At 40.8% G+C, this 21730-nt stretch overlaps 1 long non-coding RNA gene across 1 annotated transcript; it reads left to right on the top strand.

Annotated features, from left to right (window-relative positions):
- The first annotated feature begins 739 nt into the window (after positions 1–739).
- LINC02131 (long intergenic non-protein coding RNA 2131) lies at positions 740–20533 on the top strand. The gene is made up of 3 exons (NR_184319.1): positions 740–775; positions 8940–9098; positions 20392–20533. It is a non-coding gene; the product is annotated as a long intergenic non-protein coding RNA 2131 (long non-coding RNA).
- The last annotated feature ends 1197 nt before the right edge of the window (positions 20534–21730 follow it).

Here is a 21730-nt window from a genome sequence, read left to right on the forward strand (position 1 = left end):
CCGCCATAAGAATGTCAACCCCACAACTCCACAACAGACTCTGTCTGTTGTTCATGGTTGTATCCCTGATGCCCAGAACACAGCCTGGAACACAGTAAGTATCCAATGAATCGTTGTTTATTTAATAAACACATATTTTATATATGCCAGGTGATTCACAAGCAACATACATTAGTGTTACAGTAAAGAAAACACATTATTTAAAAGTATGTATCAATCAATTAAAAAAAGAATGTCTTAGCTAATAAACATTCATTGACTACCTACTATGCGTTCACATTACTGTTTTTCTTTGCCTTCAGGAGACCTTGCACAGTCAATATTCATAAGAAATATTCAATTAATGCCTCACAAACATTCCTGACCATACAAACTGTACAAACGCCACCACAATTACCACATACTTTGAGGATGATATATAAAAACAATAGAATAACTACTCATCTTTAAGAAATCAATTATTCCAATGAGCCTATCATACAATCCCCAAGAGTCTGGAGTGTATTTCCCGGGGAGACAATGAAACTGAATTGCAACCGTGGTGCAGAGGAGAACCCAAAGTTGTTTTGCATAAGTTGTCATGGGCCATTATGATGCTGGCAACTTCTATGAATAAACAAGTCAGCATTTGTGAAAGTTTCCAACACAATGCATGGCACCCAATATGCCCCATTTCGCTAACCTCCACTGAGCCCCAAGCTCTGAAGATCAAAGTCAAAGCACGAAATGAACGTGAGAGAGCTGGAAAGCTAACTACAAAGCCTCTAAAAGTTACGTAAGTCAATATGGGCTTTGTCCTAAGCATGCGACGCTGAGGCAGACTTTTAACTCATTTTTGTTTTCCTTTTTACAAACTTGTCAATGAAACCTTTATTTGAAAAACCACTCCTTAATGTCGAGTAGGAAAAGACACCAGAGAATAGCCAAGATTGCAAAATAATGGCCGGCCTGGCTGCACCGCCCAAGACTGGCTCTCTGGTGGCCGGGCACAGGGGCTCACACCTGTAATCCCAGCATTTTGGGAGGCCGAGGCAGGCTGATCACCTGTGAAGTTCAAGACCAGCCTGGCCAACATGGAGAAACCGTGTCTCTACTAAAAGTACAAAAATTAGCCAGGTATGGTGGCAGGCACCTATAACCCCAGCTACTCACAAGGCTGAGGCAGGAAAATTGCTTGAACCCAGGAGGTGGAAGTTGCAGTGAGCTGAGATTGCACCACTGCACTCCAGCCTGGGCAACAAGAGAGACACTCCGTCTCAAAAAAAAAAAAAAAAAAAAAAGACTGGCTCTCTGGTAAAACCATACTGGAGCTTGGATGTAATAATAAACCCCACAACGCTGAGTGTTAACCTGCTCCCTGTGACCCTTCATTGTTAAAGATGCTGGTGACTGCTACAAGGTTATCCACTTCACATCTGCCAGCTGGGAAGTTGTGCAAACGGCATGTAGGGGGAAGTGAAGGGCAGCTGGGAAAATGAAAAACACCTTCAGAAAGTGAAATAAACTTTCTTAAGAAGATACCACCCTCCGCTAGCCATATACCAAACCGTAAAAAGAAAGAAAAATATTAGGCCTACGCCACATGGAACAACAAGACAATCCTTGTATCTCAAGGAGGTAAAAAAACCCACACCAAAATAGCAGCCAGATGTCCCCAGTGCCACTCTCTTTAAGAAAGATTACCAAATGACGGACAATCAGACATTATTCATTCTGCAAATAAATATTAATGACCGGCTCTACGGCGGCCTAGGTGCTGGGAAAAAAAAAGACCAAATAGTCTCTACACTTAACAAGTATGATTAGCTCCTTAACAACATGCTCAAATTCGCTAATGGCCTCCTATGAGCAAAGTTCATTGTGCTTTACAGATGTTATTGTCTATTCAATATATGTCTATTAAGCCCCAAGCATGCACACGGCACTGTGGCACTGTTGCAGGCACTAGGGTTACCAAAAACAGACAAAAGTCCCCTGTTATGCATCTCATTTTAAGCTCAATTTATCACCATGTAGCAGATATCATTATTCCCATTTTAGAGAGAGGAAAAGTGTGGTTAGCCCTAACCCACCCAGGTCAAACACTAGTGAAGGCCAGAGCCAGGACTTCGGCCCAGCCCACCTTTAGGTCCTTGACCTTTCCCTGATCCAAGGGTCAAAAGCAAACACAAATGTCTGCAAGGGCTAGGATGACAAAAATTACAATGGGCCAGGTTTATCCCATCATAGCCACTTATGTTTTGTTTTGTTTTCTTATTAAACAAACTATTAACTCACAGTTCTATTTTCCACTTCAGTCCCCAAACAATAATAATGCTTCCTCTCATTTTTCTTGAAAACCAGCCCTTTCATGCTAACTTTTTGTTCCCTGAGACAAAGCCATAGGTAACAGGAAATACATCACTTTCTTATCTTTTCTTTCCTTTTTTTTTTTTTTTTTTTTTTTTTGGAGACAGGTCTCACTCTGTCACCCAAGCTGGAGTGCAGTGGTGCGATTTCAGCTCACTGCAACCTCCGTCTCCTGGGTTCAAGTGAAACTTCTGCCTCAGCCTCCTGAGTAGCTGGGATTACAGGCATGCACCCCCATGCCTGGCTAGTTTTTATTTTTAGTAGAGATAGGGTTTCACCATGTTGGCCAGGCTGGTCTTGAACTCCTGGCCTCAAGTGACCTGCTCACCTCAGCCTCCCAAAGTGCTGGGACTACAGGTGTGAGCCACCATGCCCAGCCTTCACTTTCCTTTTAACACTGTTGTGAGAAATAATTAGAATGAGAATGGTGATAAATGGGAAACTGACTCTCATCCACCCAAACATTGAGGAGGCAATGGCAGTTGCTTCTTGGCCTCAGCTTACAGTTACCATGCAAAAAGTAGGCCAAACATTGCCTCTGAGTTTTCAAATGAAGCCAGAAATTTAGAATGCTATGTCAGATCTTCCAGTACTTAGATACTGACAATCAATTAAAACTTTTGAAAAACTATGTATGCCAGTATTTTACTAGCTCAACAATACATATTTTGGTATTAAATCTGGCAGCGATCTCCAATTTACAAGCTCCACATTATTCCTAGTATTCTTTTTAGCAAATATCATGCATATTGCACAGTACTTTTATTTATTTAGAATACCTATCGATGATCTTTCTGTATTTATAGATAGGCCATGAGACCAATTACATACAGAAGAAAAATGTGTTTATATCAAAGTACACTATATTCCAAGTATCAAATGTAAGATGGTGACAATAACTGAAGTGAAAATTGAAAGAGGGGAGAGGTTGCCTGATTCCTGAATAGCTGTCAAGGAGGAGAGGAGACTCTACCTTGGTTTATGGATGGGTCCAATATGGACATACAGAAAAGTAGGTCAAGAAGAGATGAAGCATGAGAAAAACCTTGGAGATGAATGTGAGAATGTTTAGTTGCTCATTAATATTTAAGGAGGAGTAAATATAAGAATATTGGAAGATCACTTGAGGCCAGGAGTTTCAGACCAGCTGGGACAATACAGCATTTCTACAAAAGATAGTTTTAAAATTACCTGAGCGTGATGGCATGCACCTGTAGTCCCAGCTACTCAGGAGGATTGCTTGAGCCCAGGAGTTGGAGGCCGCAGTAGGCTATGATTGCACCCCTGCACAATAGCCTGGGCAACAGAGCAAGACTATCTGTTTAAAAACAAATAAACAAACAAACCAACCTGAAAAAAATAACACTGATAGAGTAAAAAATATGACAAGGAACTTGTAGAAGGTGAGGACAGAAGGTTATGCTGTGGAAAATAATAGTGTATAAAATGGGGAAGGTATCTGGTCTACTTCATGACATCAGGTTAGAGTTCAGACTCAACTCTTGAGGAAGAAGTTGTGCTATACATCTTTTGATATCTCCTGCATCTAACACAGTGCTTAACATGTAGAAAGCTTCCAATAAAATATTAAAGATGGAATGAGGTCACATGCACAATGGCATTTTGACGAACACAAAGCATGCACGACATCATGCGATTATTAATATTGATGAGGAAAGAGTATTCAAAGGAAATTTCCATAGGATTCCTGAGAGATGAATAATAAATTGAGGGTCTCTGGCAATCGTTAACATTGTTGTCAAAGTTCAACAGGCATTTCCTTCTCAAAAACAATGAAGGGAAACCCATTCTACTGGTTCCTGCTACAACTGGGGATATTATGCCAAAAGGGCAAGAGGAATAGAGATTCCTATGTGGCCCTTTTTGAATTTCGGAATTGAGACACACTCTACCCTTCCCCCCACCCAGTCTCCCCTAATTAAAAAAAAAATAGCAATAGCCTTTAATATAAGCAAACAGGAAGTTTTACATTCACCAAATGCTACAGTTCACCTTCCATTGCATGACAGCTCAAGCTATGGAATCAGACAGACCTGGGTTCAGGTCCCAGCTCAGCAATTTATTAGCTCTGCCACTTTAGACAAGTTACTGAGCTTCTTTGAGCCTTTGTAAGAAGATGAGGCAGCAAAAGCAACACCTATCTCATACAACTTATGAGGATGATGGAAGTGATGAATAGGAAACCTAATTACCCACATGTAAATACCAGCTTGGAGACAAAATGATCTCATTTCAAGGAGACATCAAAAGCCAATGAGACAATTTCTGTTGAGTTGAAAATCCCACAAAGATTTCATCCACGTTGTAAATTGGTACTTGATATTAATCTATTTTTTGACTCCTCCTAAGTGCAGTGTTGCCTTCACACGTAGCTGCGTCTCTCAGCAGGGTGATCCATATCCACAGATTGCCCACAGCTGTCTCAACCACATGAAAGACCCAGACACTCCCAAATGACCCACTGGCACAAGGTAGCCATTCATCAAATGCTAGAAGCTCAGCACCAGACACAATGAAAGGTTAGCGCTCGGTTTTTATTGCGTCGGTATTAGCTTTCCCTGTCTGCAGCCATTTGATTGGTACAAAGCTTTACACTGTTTACAAATGTTTTAGAGTCCTGGCCTTTTCTTCTTATTGACTTTTACATACTCACATCATTAATCTTTAATTTTCATTGGAAACTACATCCAGCAATCAAAATGAAATGCTGCCTTCTGCCATGTGCCTCAAAAGTCCTGATGAATTGCACACCACTAAAGAGTCTAGGTAGAGTACAGTGTGTTGGGAGGAGAATTGCCATTACTCATTCTATGCAAAAGTTGAAACTGTTATTTTTGTGACACCGCATGTGCACTTGATACCAGCCACGTATTTTCTAGCATACAGTGAGCATTTCATACAGAGCAGTGGTTTTTATTGGCTATGGTTATCTCCATAACTGATATCCTTGAGAAAAACAATTGATATTTATCAAAGATAGGAAGTAACTTCTGAAGTAAATAACATTCTTTGTCAGTGATAACTGTTACAGAAATAGCAGAGCAATGAAAGAAGTAGCAGTGTCACTATATAATCCAAGCTTGAGAGTGCTGAACAAGGGTGTAATGCAATTTGCCATTTTGCTTACTGATGTCACATATAAATGGGGAAGACACAGTGGCATACTTTTGAGAAAAAGGAATTGTTTTCAGATTTCTTTCAAATAATTTCCAAGATCAGCATTGTCAAGTGCAACAATCTGTAATGATGGAAAAGTTGCACAACAGCAAAAAGCTGGCATGCATCTGTGTCATTAAAAACTCAGTATGATTTAACAAATTTTAGCTAAGATTTAAAAATACCGTGTTATGTGATGTGGATATGCCAGACATTACTTAGTTACTCCCCTACTTTTTCTTATTATAGTTATTTTTCATTTTTTTATTGTAAATATTTTCATAATGTCAATCAAAGAGTACTTTTGAGATCCAATGATATATACTGAAACTTTGAGAAGCTAGTTATGCCATTAGGAATCCCAGTCTCTTAAGAGTTTTGCTTACCATTTAAGACGAATCTGAAAGAAACAGTCAATCAACATTGCATTAATCCATTAATGAATATAATTATATGGATGTAACTGAGACAGGATTTTCAATACACAAAACGTGTGCTGTTAAGAAATAGATAAAAAGGAAGCCTATAAAGATTTTACCCCAAGTTGCAATAGTTCCTTGCTATCAAATTTTTGGATTGGTTTATAAAACTTTATGTTCAATACTTCCTGTTTAATTCATGAAGCATATTCTGGCCAATATGGGTGAAACCACAGAGAAAGAAAAGTAAACAAGTATACTTAGGATAATTCATGGTAATTGCTCTTATGAAAGAGATTATGAATCATTTTATCTCTACAAATTTGATGCATTTCCAAGCATTCTGGTGTGGCACAAGAATATTACAGATTCAATTCCTCAATTCCCAAGCATTTCCTGTTTCCCAAGCCTTCTGATGTGGTACAAGAATATTAAAGACTCATTTCCTGATTTTGATAAAGTTACAGTGTGGCTGGGAGGCAAGACATGCACAAAGATACTAAACATAAGTTTACATAAGTTATGTCAAAGTAAATGCTTTGAAAGAAAAGGTAAAATCTCCATGACTGGGATGTCAGGATAATGCCATAAGGGAGTGGATGAAAATTTGTCTTTGAGGAATGCAGTAAGCCTCATAAAATCATCATAAAGAAGAATGGAAAATAAAGACTCCTGGTGTGTCTGCGAAATAATTAGAGGACTAATCTGTGTAGAGGAAATACATTTATTGGAGGCAGGTGAGGTAAGGTAAAAGAAGGCAAAGACACTGGCTGCAGTCTGAATCTTCAGGGCTTTATTCTACACCCAATAGAGATGTCATTTAACAACGTAATGACTTACAAAGATTCTTGCTTTCAGATATTGGTCCGAGCATGATGTGATCAGGGGAAAGAACGGTGGGGACAGGAAGATCACTTTAGGGAGCCATCTTGCACATTTGGAATAAGAGGAGAATACAGGAGAATAAAATATGAACTCAATGACATCAGCAGAAATAAAAATTCTTTCAGAGGGATACTGAAGAAGCATGATTAACAGACTTTTGAGGTTATATGGATATTGTCAAAGAGGCAATGCATCATAAAAAACCACCCTAAAATTGTAAACTCAGTTGTTGGAAGAACTTATGATATGACCACTGAGAAAAAGAGAAGTTAAAGAAAAGTATTAATTTAGGAATGGCAGAGACCAGATGATATATGAGTCTGGTTTAAGACATGCTGAATTGAATCTATTGATATATTACTAGATGGAGGGACTTAGAGGATGGTTAAAAATATTTGGCTGAAGCTCAGGAAAGAGATTGGACACTGGGAGTCCCCTGTTGGACAGCTGAAGCTATAACATTAGATGAGCTCACCAAGGGAGAGGTGTTATGCAAAGAAGATTGCAATCCTGGGACCAAGACTTAAGGAATGTCCACACATAAAGACAGGAGACAAAGAAGTTGGTGTTAAAGAGAAAGAAACAACCAGAAAGACAGGATGGGAATTGATGTCTTGGAAAAGTATGGGATCCCGAGATAGTTACCTTTGAGGACTACTCAGAGTTCTGAAACATATTTTAGCCACAGGACCTTTTTGTCAAGTGAAAAATCTGTGAGAAACCTGAGAATAGCAGAACTGCTCCAGTACGAGATGGGTTGGAGACTTGAAGAACTGATGTTTCAGTAGGGCATGGTGGCTCACACCTGTAATCGCAGCACTCTGGGAGGCTGACACAGGAGGATCATTTGAGTCCAGGAGTTCAAGACCAGCCTGGGTGACATGGCAAAACCCCATCTCTACAAAAAAATACAAAAATTAGCTGGGTATGGTAGCACATGCCTGTTGTCCTAGCTACTCGGGAGGCTGAGGTAGAAGGACTGATTTAGCCCTGGGAGGTTGAAGCTGCAGTGAGCCATGATCAGGCTGACAGAGCAAGACCCTGTCTCGAAAGCAGATGAAAATCAAACTGTCATCTCAGCCCTCCCATCTCCAACCTGACCCCCACCCCAAGCATTCACCGCTACTAAGGGAGTGCTGGTTGACAAAGACTCCATAAAACAGAGCTTGAAAATCGTTGACTTTTGATTCTTTTTATTTTAAAGATGAGGAAACTGGAACACCGTGAGGAAAAGTGAAGAGATTATCAGTGACAGAATCATGAGTTTCATCCCCTGATTTCTGGTCTGTTAGTCTTTAATTAGCAACAATGCTTCTTACAGTGCCCAGAAACCTGAGAGAGAAGAGAGGTTCAGGGAGGAAGGATGGTGGCCTGTGTACAGAGTACACGGGGGATGAGGGAGTCCTAGAGGTGCTCCCAGCCCAACACAGACAGACAGCTGCTCGATCCTCCATCCCTATTCCAGGAATACACCTATCAATCACTTTCTGCAGGTCGCAGGAGATAATTTATTTTCTATATACCACTTTATACTTTTTTTTTTTTGAGATGAATCTCATTCTGTTGCCCAGGTTGGAGTGCAGTGGCTTGATCTCATCTCACTGCAACATCTGCCTCCCAGGTTGAAGCGATTCTCCTGCCTCAGCCTCCTGAGTACCTGGGATTACAGGCACCTGTTACCACACCCAACACATTTTTGTATTTTTAGTAGAGATGGGGTTTCACCATGCTGACCAGGCTGGTCACAAACTCCTGGCCTCAAATGATAGGCCCACCTCGGCCTCCCAAAGTGCTGGGATTACAGGTGTAAGCCACTCCACCCAGCCCACTTTATACTTTTCAAAGTATTGTCACATCCAACATCTTTTTTTATCATCACAATAATCATGGGAAGGGGACAAGTTGGGCAGGTAATACTACAGTATTCACAATGTACACAACGCCTCAGAGACATTAACTAACTTGACCAACTCACTCCAGCACCAGGATTAGAACTCCAGTGGCTCCCCACGAATAAAACAAGGCAGCTATTTGGGTTACAGAATCAGCACAAATAGCAGAAGGTTTTGTGTCTCACCTAAATCAATAACTAAGGATTTCTGTTTCCAGGTAACATGAAGAAACACACTCGATTCTGCCTCTCCCATTGAATAGAGCAATAAAACATGGACACAACACACAAAGCAGCTATTTGAGGACTCTGAGAAGGAAATGGCAGCACACAGATTGGGGGAGAAGACCAGAATTTGAAATGCTGCTGAACCACAGGTGGGTTTTTCAATCTTCTTTCCTCTAGTATATCTTGGCCTGAACTTAAACACCAGACCTGGTAGTGGGCAACAGTGCAGAGACAGATGAGAAAACTGTAGGAGAAGCCATGAGGACCTGAGAAGGGAACTCCTACCTCCAAAAGAAACTATAGAAATCCCCATTTGGTTTTCTCTTTTTTCTATTTTTTAGCTGACACATAAAAAGCTGTACATTTCAGTGTAAACATCTTAATGAGTTTGGGGAAAGTAAACACCCATGAAACCATCACCACCATCAAGGCCATCAACATATTTATGACCTCCTCAAATTTTCTACTCTCCTTTGTTATTATTACTAAGATTGTTTTTTCATAAAAATCAATTTTGCGAGGGTGGCAGAAGAGCTCCAATAACAGGCACTCACAGAAGCCAAAACTCTATGGGAGAGAAATTTCTGTTTTCTGGACTTGTGATCCCAAGAGATTGAGGGAAAACCTCCATTTTTCTCTCTGTATCCCCACCACTGGCAACCAACCCACCAGAGTGGGATAATCGATTTCTAGTTTTGTAATCAGAAGGCCAAAAAGAGGAACTTCCAGGAAACAGAAAATATTAAAGGCATGAAATAAAGTAGAACTCAAGAAAACAAACCCATAAATGTGTTTATGAACATTTGGGCTCATTCTCTTACAGTGCATGTACAGATCTGATCCTACTCAGCCTACTACATAGATACATTGTTCAATGAACAAACTACCTTCCAGGATCCAGACTGGCCACTAGATGGAGCACATGCAGGGCAGATCCAAATAGCACTGAAAAGTGTTTGAAAACTGGACAAATGTTGGAATCATAACCCATAGAATGTCAGGTAGAACTTGGGGCCTGGCCTCAGACAGCCCAACTGACTGCTAAAAGAAAAATATCAACATCCTTCACAGGATTTTAGAAAGACCCAGAGTCTATTATCACTACATTTAAAATGTTCAGGATACAATCTAAAATTACTCCAACAAATGAAAAATCAAGAAAGGCTAAACTCAAATGGTAAGAGATAATCAATGGACATCAACACAAATATAATACAAATGTTGAAATTATCTGAGAAAGCCTTTAAAATATAGTATAAAAATACAGTTGGTTGAGCAAGCAACTCTAAATGCTTTTGAAACCAAAGGAAAGAGAGAAAGTCTCAGCAAAGACATAGAGGATATACAGAAGAATCAAGTCAGTATCTTAGAACTGAAAAGCACAACTGCGATTTAAAAAAAAAAAAAACCCTCACTGAATGGGCTTAATAGAATGAAGATAACAGAAGAAAGAGTCAGTGAACTTGAAGATAGAGCAAAAAAACTTACCCAATCTAAAAAGAAAGAAAAAGATTGAAAAACTTTAATAGAGCCTCATGGATCTACGTGATAATAAATGTTTTAACATTCATGTGACTGAAATCCCGGAAATAGAAAGAATACAGTACTGAAAAAATATTTGAAGATTACAAGTTGAAAACTTCCCAAATTTGGTGAAAGACATAAACCTACAGATTCAAGAAGCTGAGTAATTCCCAAACAGGACAAACCAAAATAAATCCACACCAAGACACATCTTACTCAGTTAAAAACTAAGGAAAAAGAATAAAGTCATTATCCATAGAGACACAGCAATTGAAATTACTGCAGATTTGTCACTAGAAACTGATAGTTACAGGAGGCAGCTCAATGCCTAGGCAGAAAGGGGCAGATCCCTGTTGAAACCCCACCTCCAAGGCAAAGACAATTTAAAGCCTGAAAGCCAAGCTACAGGTTAAATCCTCAGACCAGATTGAGAACTTGTCTTCCCATTTGGCATACTTTCCTCTGGTCGATCCCCACCCTTTACCTATTTTACGTTTTCCTACCCTTTCCTAATTGGTTTTCTACACTGTTGTGCCCACCTTTGAGTGGTGTCTTCATTTTAATCTTTTGCATACAAACCACTCAGCATGCACTCCCCATTCTGAGTCCATAAAAAGCCCTTGACCCAGCACTTTGGCAGGCCAAGGTGGGTGGATCACTTGAGGTCAGGAATTCAAGACCAGGTTGGCCAACATGGCAAAACCCCATCTCTACTAAAAATATAAAAATATTAGTCGGGCGTGATGGTACACACCTGTAGTCCCAGCTGCTCCAGAGGCTGAGGCAGGAGAATTGCTTAAACCTGGGAAGCAGAGGTTGCTGTGAGCCAAGATGGCACCACTGTACTCCAGCCTGGATGACAGAGCAAGGCCCTGTCGAAAAATAATAATAATAATAATAAGCCTCTGACCCAGAAACACAGAGAGGGAGGAATCACCTGACTGCAGGGGTGGGGAACAACCACCCCCCTCCCCCACAAACTCCTCTCTCTCATGAGAGCCATTTCATTGCTCAATAAAATCTTACATTCTCATCACCTTTTAATCATCAACATGACCTCATTCTTCTTGGACTCTGGACTAGAGCTTGGGACACACTGAGCTCAGGTACTCTGAAAGGCTGTAGCACTGGCCCTTTGGCCTCGCTGGTGGAGGGCAGCACCTCATATAACAGGGCAAGGGGCTGACCGAGCTGTTAACACACTGCTGTCCATCAGGCTGTGGACAGTGGAACTAAAAGAGCTAAAGAGCACACTAACGCTGCTGCTTTGGGGTCACCGGCACCTCTGCCTGGGCACCGCCATGTTCCCCTGGAGGTAACACATCTGATCTGGCCGTGGGCTGACAAGGAATTTGCTCCTGTGTTGGCACTCAGAGTGGCTGGATGAATCCTGTACTCATGAGCTCATGTGCTCCCTCCCGCAAGGGGCTGAGCGTGATGGGTCGAGTTGATGGGATGTCCCTGCTGTGAGCCCAACAAAGGGGCCGAGAAAAATCCTGTTTCAAAACTATGGGCCCAGAGGGTAGTTGCACACTATTCTTAAAGTGTTGAAATGAAAGAACTGTCAACACAAACTCTACATCCAGAAAAAATATCCTTCAGAAATAAAGTTGAAATAAGGACATGCTCAGATGAAGAAAAACTAAGAAAAATCGTTTACAACAGATCTGCCCTCACCAAATTGCTAAAGCAAGCTCCTCAAGAGGAAGGAAAATGATACCAGATAGAAATTTTAAACATCAGCAATAAAGAGCAAATGAAAGAGTAAATAGACCATTCTTCGCTTGAGAAAAAAGATGGAAAGCAAAAATTAAACACCGTTTACTGGGGTTTTCAATATACATAGATGTACTGGATGAAAAATTATAACCTAAAGGGAAGTAAAGAGATGCTTATAGGAGTGTTGATATTCCACTGGAAATGGTAAAATGTTGAATTTCAGTAGACAGTTAAAAAGCTAAATATGTAATTATAAACCTCAGGGCAACTACTTAAAAACCAGACAAAAATATATGGTTAAAACACAGTAGATTTTTTTAAAATGTTTAAATAACCCAAAAGTAAACAGCAGAGAAGGAAATAGAGGATGGAAACAAGACGGGCATGGCCCCTACTTCCAAGACAATTTAAAAAGCTGATCAATATTTACATTTTAGGATAAAACTCCTGAAGGAAAATATGAAGCAGAGCAAGCACTGTTGTAACTGCCTGGCAGAGTCTTCCTGTCTGCTGCACAAATAAAGACCACAGCATTGCAGTAAAGAGTTTAATTGACGCAAGGCCAACCATGCCACATGGGAGATGGAGTTATTACTCAAATCAGTTTCACGTCAGGCTCATAGTTTAGGGGTTTTACAAAGCAGTTTGTACGAAGGGGTGGGGGTGTTCAGGTAATGGGTGCTTGCTGATGATCAGGTGGGGTAAAAATAAAATCACAGGGGGTTGAAGGTGTCTCCCTCAGAGAGTTGCTTCTGAGTGGGGCCACAAGAGGAGTGAGGGAAGGGTAGTTGGGTCCACTTAGAGCCATGTGTATCAGACATGTAAAAAACACCTGAAAAGATATCTTAAAAGGCCAATCATGTGTTTTACAATAGTGACATTATCTGCAGGACCTCCAGAATAATGGGTGGCAATTGTTTATGTCTACACCTTAGCAGAATTCAGGTTCCTGTCCTTCCTCTAGCCTGGTGGCATTTCATTAGCTTTACAAAGGTGGTTGTATTTTGGGGGAAGCCTATTATCATTTAACTATAACCTAAATGTCTTCCAAAGTTAGCTTCATCTAAGCCCGGGAATAATTAAGACAGCTTGAAAGATAAAGGCAAGAGGGGTGTGAGTTAGATCAGATCTCTTTAACCATCATAATTTTCTCACTGATATAATTTTTGCAAAGGCAGTTTCACTGTGACATAGACTAACACTGCTGACCCAGAGTGATCAGGAATGCCTCGAGGAGGAGATGAGCTTTCAGTTGAGACAAAAAGCAAGTCCGGGGAAGGATATCTCAAGAAGATGGAAGATCTTGAGCAAAATCCCTACAACTGGAAGACTTGGAAGAACTGAAAGATCATTGCAGCTGGAGTAATGAGCAAGGAGCCTGCTAGGAAGGCAAAAGAGGAGGAAAAAGACTGCATAAGCCCTTGCAGACCATAGTTACAAGTCTGGAATTTGTTCTAAGTGCAGCGAGAAGCTGCTGAAGTTTTGCATTTGAAAAGAGTTACCCAGAAGAACCCTACCTACCTCCACCCAAAGTGGGAGATTCCTAGGCAGAGCATGTAAGTTGCTCCCTCAGGGTTTGGTTGAGAATTACACAGCAGAACAAACAAGGAGGTCCCAGGCAAGAGCCAGCTTTCTCATTTCTTTGACAACTGAATGGTTGGCTTCCCCGGGCAGAAATGTGTATAAATCTGGACTACATCTAACAGTCAGATTCCTTATCTAATAGACGACAACCAAAGTTTGATCTTTGGCCTAAGGGGAGAATTGAAAGGTGTTTATGTCTTAGAAATAATCAGAGTCAGACATCTCAAAATTAAAATTCTTTGTCAGCCTGTCAATATTTACGAATGTGTAAAATTTCCAACAGCCCCATGCCACAATTTCCATGCATTGAAGGTTGAGAGACGTTTGACCTTGAAGATAGCATCTCTTAGCCTGCACATTTTTCATTTTACAAAGTTTATTTAAAACACTGACCCATCTTCTAGTTAAGTTACCTAAGTTCATCTTTCTCCTTGAAATCAGAGTGAGATTTTCTTACAATAGACCTTGCAGGATTAAAAAAGTAAGCTACAGCTTCCCCACACCACCCCAAACAACATGAATTAGTAAACCACGAATACTGTATGCTACAGCGAAGCTAGTTTGGAACAAAGGTAAGATTTGATTTCAGAACAAAAGGTTTTTATTCATAGCTTTGACATTAACTTATTATGTGAACTTGGTCAAGTATTTTATTTAGCTTCAGAGGCTTCTATTTTATTACCTGCAAAATAAAGAGATATTTAAAATAATTTTGTGAAATGCTAACACCACAAACAAGATTGACTGGAGGCTTACCATAAGCCAGGTTCTTTTGCAGAAGTCCTCTATGTTCTATTTGCTTTGATCCTCACAACCCCCATATGATGTAGCATGGCAGAGATGCCACCTTTCCTGTTCTCTCTGAGATGTATGGTAAAATGTGGCCCAAAATACCTTTCCATGAAGGGCTTGTTAGCTCAGTTACTGGTAGTACAGTCAGCAGAAGGCATCTGGCTGTCAGTCTCTTCAGGGGTCACCTCCACATCCAAAAGCAGCCTCACCCAAGGTCATGCCCCTTCCCAGGAGGCCTGTACCTAATGACTGATCAATGTAAGAACATAAAGGCCCGGCCTTCTTAGCTCCAGAGCAGCTTTAGGGGCCTGTTGAGGCTGCCATGGTCCCTGCATCATAGTTTTTCTCCCTCTGCCATCCCCTGCATCACTACTGATCCAATAAACATCACTTCCAGCTGAAAATTAAAAAGTCATTGTAAGTACATACATATGTACATGTATGTATGCATGTTCATGCATATGTACATACGTAAGGGTCAGGTTCCCTAGAAGCAGAACCTAAGACAAGGATTTAGAAGCATGTGATTAACTGAGGGAGCACTCTTTGAAACAAAGATTAGGGAGGGCAAAGTGTTGAACACGGATGCAGCATCTGGTGAAGTCTAGCCTTGGCCTAGCTCATGAGAGCAAACCACCATTGCAAAATGTAACTGAGGCAGTGAAAGAGATCTGACCTAACCAACTCCATCTTTACTCTAACTTCCAAGCTGTCCTTGTTCACTCCTGGGTGTAGGCTGAACTAACTTTGGGAGGAAATTAGTTTATAGTTTGTTTTTTGAGATGGAGTCTTACTCTGTTGTCCAGGCTGGAGTGCTGTGACACAATCTCGGTTTTTTCTGCACAAAGGAGCACATTCAAGGAGACCAAATGTCCAGTTCTCATGAAGGTCCCAATTTGTGTCACTGTCATCCTTTTTCATTGGGATTACCAGAGAAACACTGGCTCCTATCAAGGTCTGTACACTCTGTGAAAGCAGGAATATTGTTCCATCCACAGAGATTTTCCTCGAGCCTAAGCAAAATAGTCTAGAAGTGATGGAATAAATATATGTTGATGAATGTGGTGGATTGAATGGTGTCCCCCACCCCCAAAGATACATTCATTTCCTGACCCCTGGAACTAGTGAATATATGACCTTATGAGAAAAAGGTCTTTTCAGATATCATTAAGGATCTCTCAGTAAGATTGGCCTGGATTTAGGGTGGTGTCTAAATTCAATAACAGGCATATTTACAAGAAAAAGGCAGGGAAAGACTTATGACACAAAGGAAGAAAGGTGACTTGAAGACAGAGACAGAGATTGGAGTGGTGAGTCTACAAGCCAAGGAACATGGAGAAGAGCCTGCAGTCACCAGTAGCCAGGAGAGAGGCATGGGACAGATTCTCCCTCAGGGTTTGCAGAGGAGCAAACCCTGGCAACACCTCGATTTTGGGCCTCTGGCCTCCAGAACTGTTAGTTTTAAGCCACCAAGTTTGTGGTAGTTTGTTTTGGCTGCCCTAAGAAATCAATACAAAGAATGAATGAATTAGCAAATAAATCTGAATGTCTGGGAATGAGTAAGAAGAACCCAAGGTGAGAAAGGAAGTGTAGGGAGGAGTTGTTGAAAAGAAGTTTTGCGATCTGTCTGCACAACTCAACTCAAATAGAATCTCTGCTCCCGGGTTGGGCCCTGAGCCTGGGACTAATAAGGAGATGACTGCAGCTCTACGACAAAGGCAAGCATTGGGCTGCCTTCAAGTATCCGGGCTGTAAGGAGCCCAGGATGAGGTTTTGGTGAGTATGTGAGAGAGAGACAGATGGGTATAAAATGGAAAAGCTGACTTGGGTTTCTGTACCTCAGGTCTGGAAGACACTCAGGTTGGGCTGTCTCATGGAATATGATGGGGGAATCCATATCCAGGCAGAGAACTCTAAGAAACTCCAATCTAGACGTGGGAATCTCTTGAATCTTCAGAAGGAACTCTTGAATGGAATGTAATTTTGGCTAAATTTGAGTAACAATATCCACATGGAGGGGAAAATACTACAGGATAAGGAAAGGGGAGGAAAAGGAAAGACATGAATACCTGCATCTCAGTTTGTTAAAAAATGAGAACACCACAAGAGCCCTGGAGAGCATCGGGGACCTGCATCACTGGCCTTTGCTCCGTACTCTGCACCACTTCTTTTCCCATGACCTCATCAGCTGAGGTTATGGGGTAAAAAATGGGCTGGGAAGGACAAGAATCAGTGAGCTAACACTCATGTACAACCTCAAACACTTGCTTAAAAGATAAATGCACACTCATGGGCATACAGACACACCCTACCACAGTGGGGCTGAAGGAACAAGTTTATGGAGATACGTTCACAAGCATTGCAGTTTTGATGTGAAATTCTCGGTACTTTCTGAGGTTCATAGCGTTTCTGATAAGAACCTCTGCTGCTCTGCAGAGTGTCTCTTATCGCTTTCCAGTCCTGAAAAAGGTCTTGGAATTCTCTGACTCCAGTTACCTTTCCCAAAAGGAACACTAAAAGGGATAAAGTAATAAAAAATGATTACGTGTTTCTACATCTTCAGTGATAAGGTGGCTGAAATGTGATAAGACGACCATGGATTTTCTCTCTGAAAATGACATTTCTAGATGTAGTGCCTTTCCTACCTGCCCTGTTTGAAACAGCAAGCTAATCACACTTCACCCAGATTTAATTTTCTCTCTGTGTTCATTAACTACCTAATATTATGTCTATTTGTTTATGGTCTGTCTCCCGACAAAATATAAACTCTACAAAAGCAAGGACCTTATCTATCTTGTTCATATCTCTTAAATAGTACCTGGTACATAGTAGGTATTCGTTAAATATCTGTTTAATGAAGAAGTTAACATTAAGTTAGTTCCAGTTAACTAGATGACACTGATGTCATCCCTTGGTATCCTAGGGGGATTGGTTCCAGGATGCCCTCCCCAGCTACCAAAATCAGCAGATGCTCAAGTCCCTAATATAAAATGGCACAGTGTTATCATATAACCTACGCTCATTTTCCTTTATTTATTTATTTAGAGACAGTCTCACTCTATCGCCCAGGCTGGAGTGCAGTGGCCTGATCTCAGCTCACTGCAACCTCTGCCTCCTGGGCTCAAGCAATTCTCCTGCTTCAGCATCCTAAGTAGCAGGGATTACAGGCGCCCACCAACACACCTGGCTAATTTTTGTATTTTCAGTAAAGACACTGTTTTGCCATATTGGCCAGGCTGGTCTCAAACTCCTGGCCTCAAATGATCCATCTGCCTTGGCCTCCCAGGAGGCTGGGATTACAGGAATGAGCCACTGCATCCAGCTCGCCAATAGTCTTTAAATCATCTCTAGATTACTTATAATACCTAATACAATGTAAATGGTATGTAAATAGTTGTTACACTGTATTATTTTATTTGTATTATTTTTTATTGTTGTATTGTTATTTTTTTATTGGGTTTGTCCCCAAGTATGTTTGATCAGTGTTGGCTGAATCCATGGATGCAGAACCCACAGGTACAGAGGGCCAACTTTATTTGCTTTGTGAAATTGTACTATGTAAAGGTGAGAAGTTACCCTCCGCAAGATTGCAATGTACATAAATAATGATAGTGCTCAGGGAAACTACAAGGCCACGTCGAGTTATAAACAAAGGACTATTGAGAGAGCACAGAAAAAAAATCATGAAGGCTTTATGAATTTGAGCACTACCCATTAATAGAGACGAGACTCAGACAAAAAACTCCAGCACACAGTGGGCTTGCAGTGGCATGGGCCCTGTTTGAAACGCCCATCATCTGAGAAGCAGACTTCCTGACACCATGGCCTTGGATTAGTAAGTTGTATTTTGTGGAACTTGGCTTCTTCATCTGTAAATTAAACAACTTCTGCCTAGATGATCATGAAATCTTCTGTCCATGACAACACTGGGTGGGGAGAACTGTAAAAAATGGAGCAGGGTTTGGGTATGAATTCCTTCCAAAGTCTGAGGCATGAACAACAAGAGGACATTAAATCAGTAAGAGTTATATGACCCATAACCAAGCCGTCTGCTCTCAAGATCTGGCTACCAGGATGTTCTTCATAGAGTTAATTACAATAAAGAGAAAATGGAAAAACAAACTGGAAACTGTTAAGAGTTTATTTTGAACTAACTCCAGACTAGCAGTGGGTTTTTCTTTCACCTGCTTTGTACCTGGTATCTTAACTCGGCACTGAAAACTGTCCTCTATTATCTGATTATTTTCTCATTCCCATTGTCTCTTTTCTCTTGGAAGGACTCCTAGGAGTTGGAGATTGGGCCCAAGTACGTATATTAATACTCTGTCTTTCAAATGTTCTCCCATGTTTTCTCTACATCTTTGGCTTTCCATACTGAGAGACGTAATGTATCTCTTCTAAATGTTAAAGAACAGTTCTTTCATTATGGAAATAATAGTTTTAATTTAGAGCAGGAGTTCTCAATCTTGGCAATATTGACATTTTAGGACACATAATTCTTTGTTTTGGGGGCTGTCCTGTGCATTGTAGGATGTTGAGCAGCATCCCCGGCGTCTGCCCACTATGCCATTTGCACCCCCAACCCCACTGGTCACAGCCAAAAGTGTCTTCTAGACATTGTTAAAAGTCCACTGGGGAACACAACTGCCTCCTGTTTAGAAACATTAATTAAAAAAACTCTATTTTTGAGTTCTTCTCTTTCATTGCAGCTTGTCCTTTTAAAAAATGGCCAGAATCACTAATACAATTAGGCTTTGCTAAAATCCTCTTTTGTTCCTTGATTAATTTCTGTCTTCCAGAGTCAATGTTCTGTTTGTTCATCTTGGTCCTCCTTTAGAATTGATTTCCCTCACATGTCTGGTGGTCTGGACTGTCTGTATATATTCATAAATACAGGTTTTAACAATTAACATAGGTCACTGAGGTAAGCTTCTGTTTCCTTTGAGTGGGCTCCATGCCCCCAACAAACTTCTTCCTTGAATAAGGGGATAGACCAGGAACTGAGTTTCTAGCTGGGGCCTATGAACAAGCTGGCTTCACTTTAGGATGGACCAGTCCAGAGCAAGTGAACAGACTGACTGCTCCCCTCCCCAAATGTCTGATTATAGTGTGCTTCACCATGGGCTCCTGGCACCCCATACCATATCACACCCACACACAAAAAAGTCCTAGAGAGGTCTCCCAATACTCACCCTGATTCCTGCATCTCTTCCAACCCTCACCCTTTGTAATCTTCTGAACCAAAGGCAGATACATTCTGAGACTCTGGGAAAGAGTAATTCTCAAATTTAATCTTGTCATTGCTGCCTTGCCCTCAGGGTGTTCCCAGCCCCTTCCTCCAAAGGTCTTTCAATAGGTGATTGATTAAACAAAACATTTTACATTTATGCCAAGGAATACTACACAGCAATAAAAAAGAGCAAATATTGATGTGCTTAACAACTTGGATGGATTTCAAGGGAAATGTGTTGACTGAAAAAAGCTAATGGCAAAAGTTTACACACTGGATGATCCCATTGACATAACGTTCTTGAAATGACAAAATCATAGGTGGAGAACAGATAAGTGGTTGCCAGGAGTTAGGGATGGGGGGTGACATAGGGTGTGTGTGACTGTAATGGGTAGCACAAGGGAGATCTTCATGGTGACGAAATATTAATAGTCCTGTGTCTCGACTGTGGTGGTGGTTATACAAATACACACGTACATGTAATAAAACCAAATGTCTACACACACATACCCAAGTGCACATAAATCAGGTAAAACTGATGGCTGAAGTTCTGTGATGGTACCAACGTCAATTTCTTGCCTTTGATATTGTAGTAGAGTGATACAAGATGTGACCGTTGAAGAATGCTGGATGAAAGGCGACTGCCTTCATGGAACCCGTATGGACTCCGTGTATATTTTTTGGGTAATTTCCTATGACTCAGTAATTATTTCAAAATAAAAATGTTTAAAAAGTGAAGTCACTATGACTCCATCTTCATTTTCACCTCCAGATATTCATGACCTCCACTGGCCCACTGGAAGTTCCCTCTCTCATTCTTAGACAAGTAAGCCTTCATTTCATCTATAGCATTTCAATGGGATTTTTGGAGGTAGAGGAAGCAAATTCTTACATTCATGTGTGTACACTCAGCAGTCAACGCATACTTTTTTTTTTTTTTTTTGAGATGGAGTCTCACTCTGTCATTCAGGCTGGAGTACAGTGGTGTGATCTTGGCTCACTGCAACCTCTGCCTCCCGGGTTCAAGCAATTCTCCTGCCTCAGCCTCCCAAGTAGCTGGGATTACAGGTGCCCACTACCACACCTGGCTAATTTTTGTATTTTTAGTAGAGATGGAATTTCACCATGTTGGCCGGGCTGGTCTCAAACTCCTGACCTCAAGTGATCCGCCTGCCTCGGCCTCCCAAGGTACGGGATTACAGGCATGAACCACCCCACCCGGCCCATACATTTCTTTCGAATTAAGAGAAGCATGAGGTCTTAAATCACAGTTTCAATTAAAAGCCCAATTTATAAAGAACAAGATTTCTTTAAAAGTAATCTACATTTAGTGATATGTTATTCAAATATTACCTATTCCCTTATGAATTCTAAATACTTTCCTTGAAATAAAGTAGGAAGCATTAAACATGTATAGGCTTCTTGTATGTCAGTCTTACCTCAAAAAAGCAGTTAAAATATTAAATAATACCACCATTGAGTAAACATACACACACATACAAAGAGGGTATTATATCAGAAGTCTACATAGTAGGATCATGCTGACTAATTATACTGCAAAATTTTCCCATATTACTAAGCATGTCAGCACAAGTCGGATCTGTGCCCTTGACTTTTGCTAATAATGTTCTGAAGAAGCATTCACATTGCAATAGTTGCTGCATATGCTATGGACGTCTTTTAAAGGAATTTTCCCATAGATTACTCAATATCTCCTCTGTGATATCACTTCATAAATTTCCTTTAGAGCAGTGGTTCTCAAATCATGGTCCATAGACCAGCAGCATCAGTATCACCAGGGAATGTGCCAGAAATACAAATTCCCAGGCTACAATGATTCAGACACTCTACGGATAGGACCTAGAAATCTGTTTTAATAGGTCCTCTAGGAGACTACCAGGCAAACTGGAGTTTGAAAACTACAACTTTAAG

The sequence above is a fragment of the Homo sapiens genome, chromosome 16 (genome assembly GCF_000001405.40).
Source record: "Homo sapiens chromosome 16, GRCh38.p14 Primary Assembly".
Taxonomy (NCBI): domain Eukaryota; kingdom Metazoa; phylum Chordata; class Mammalia; order Primates; family Hominidae; genus Homo; species Homo sapiens.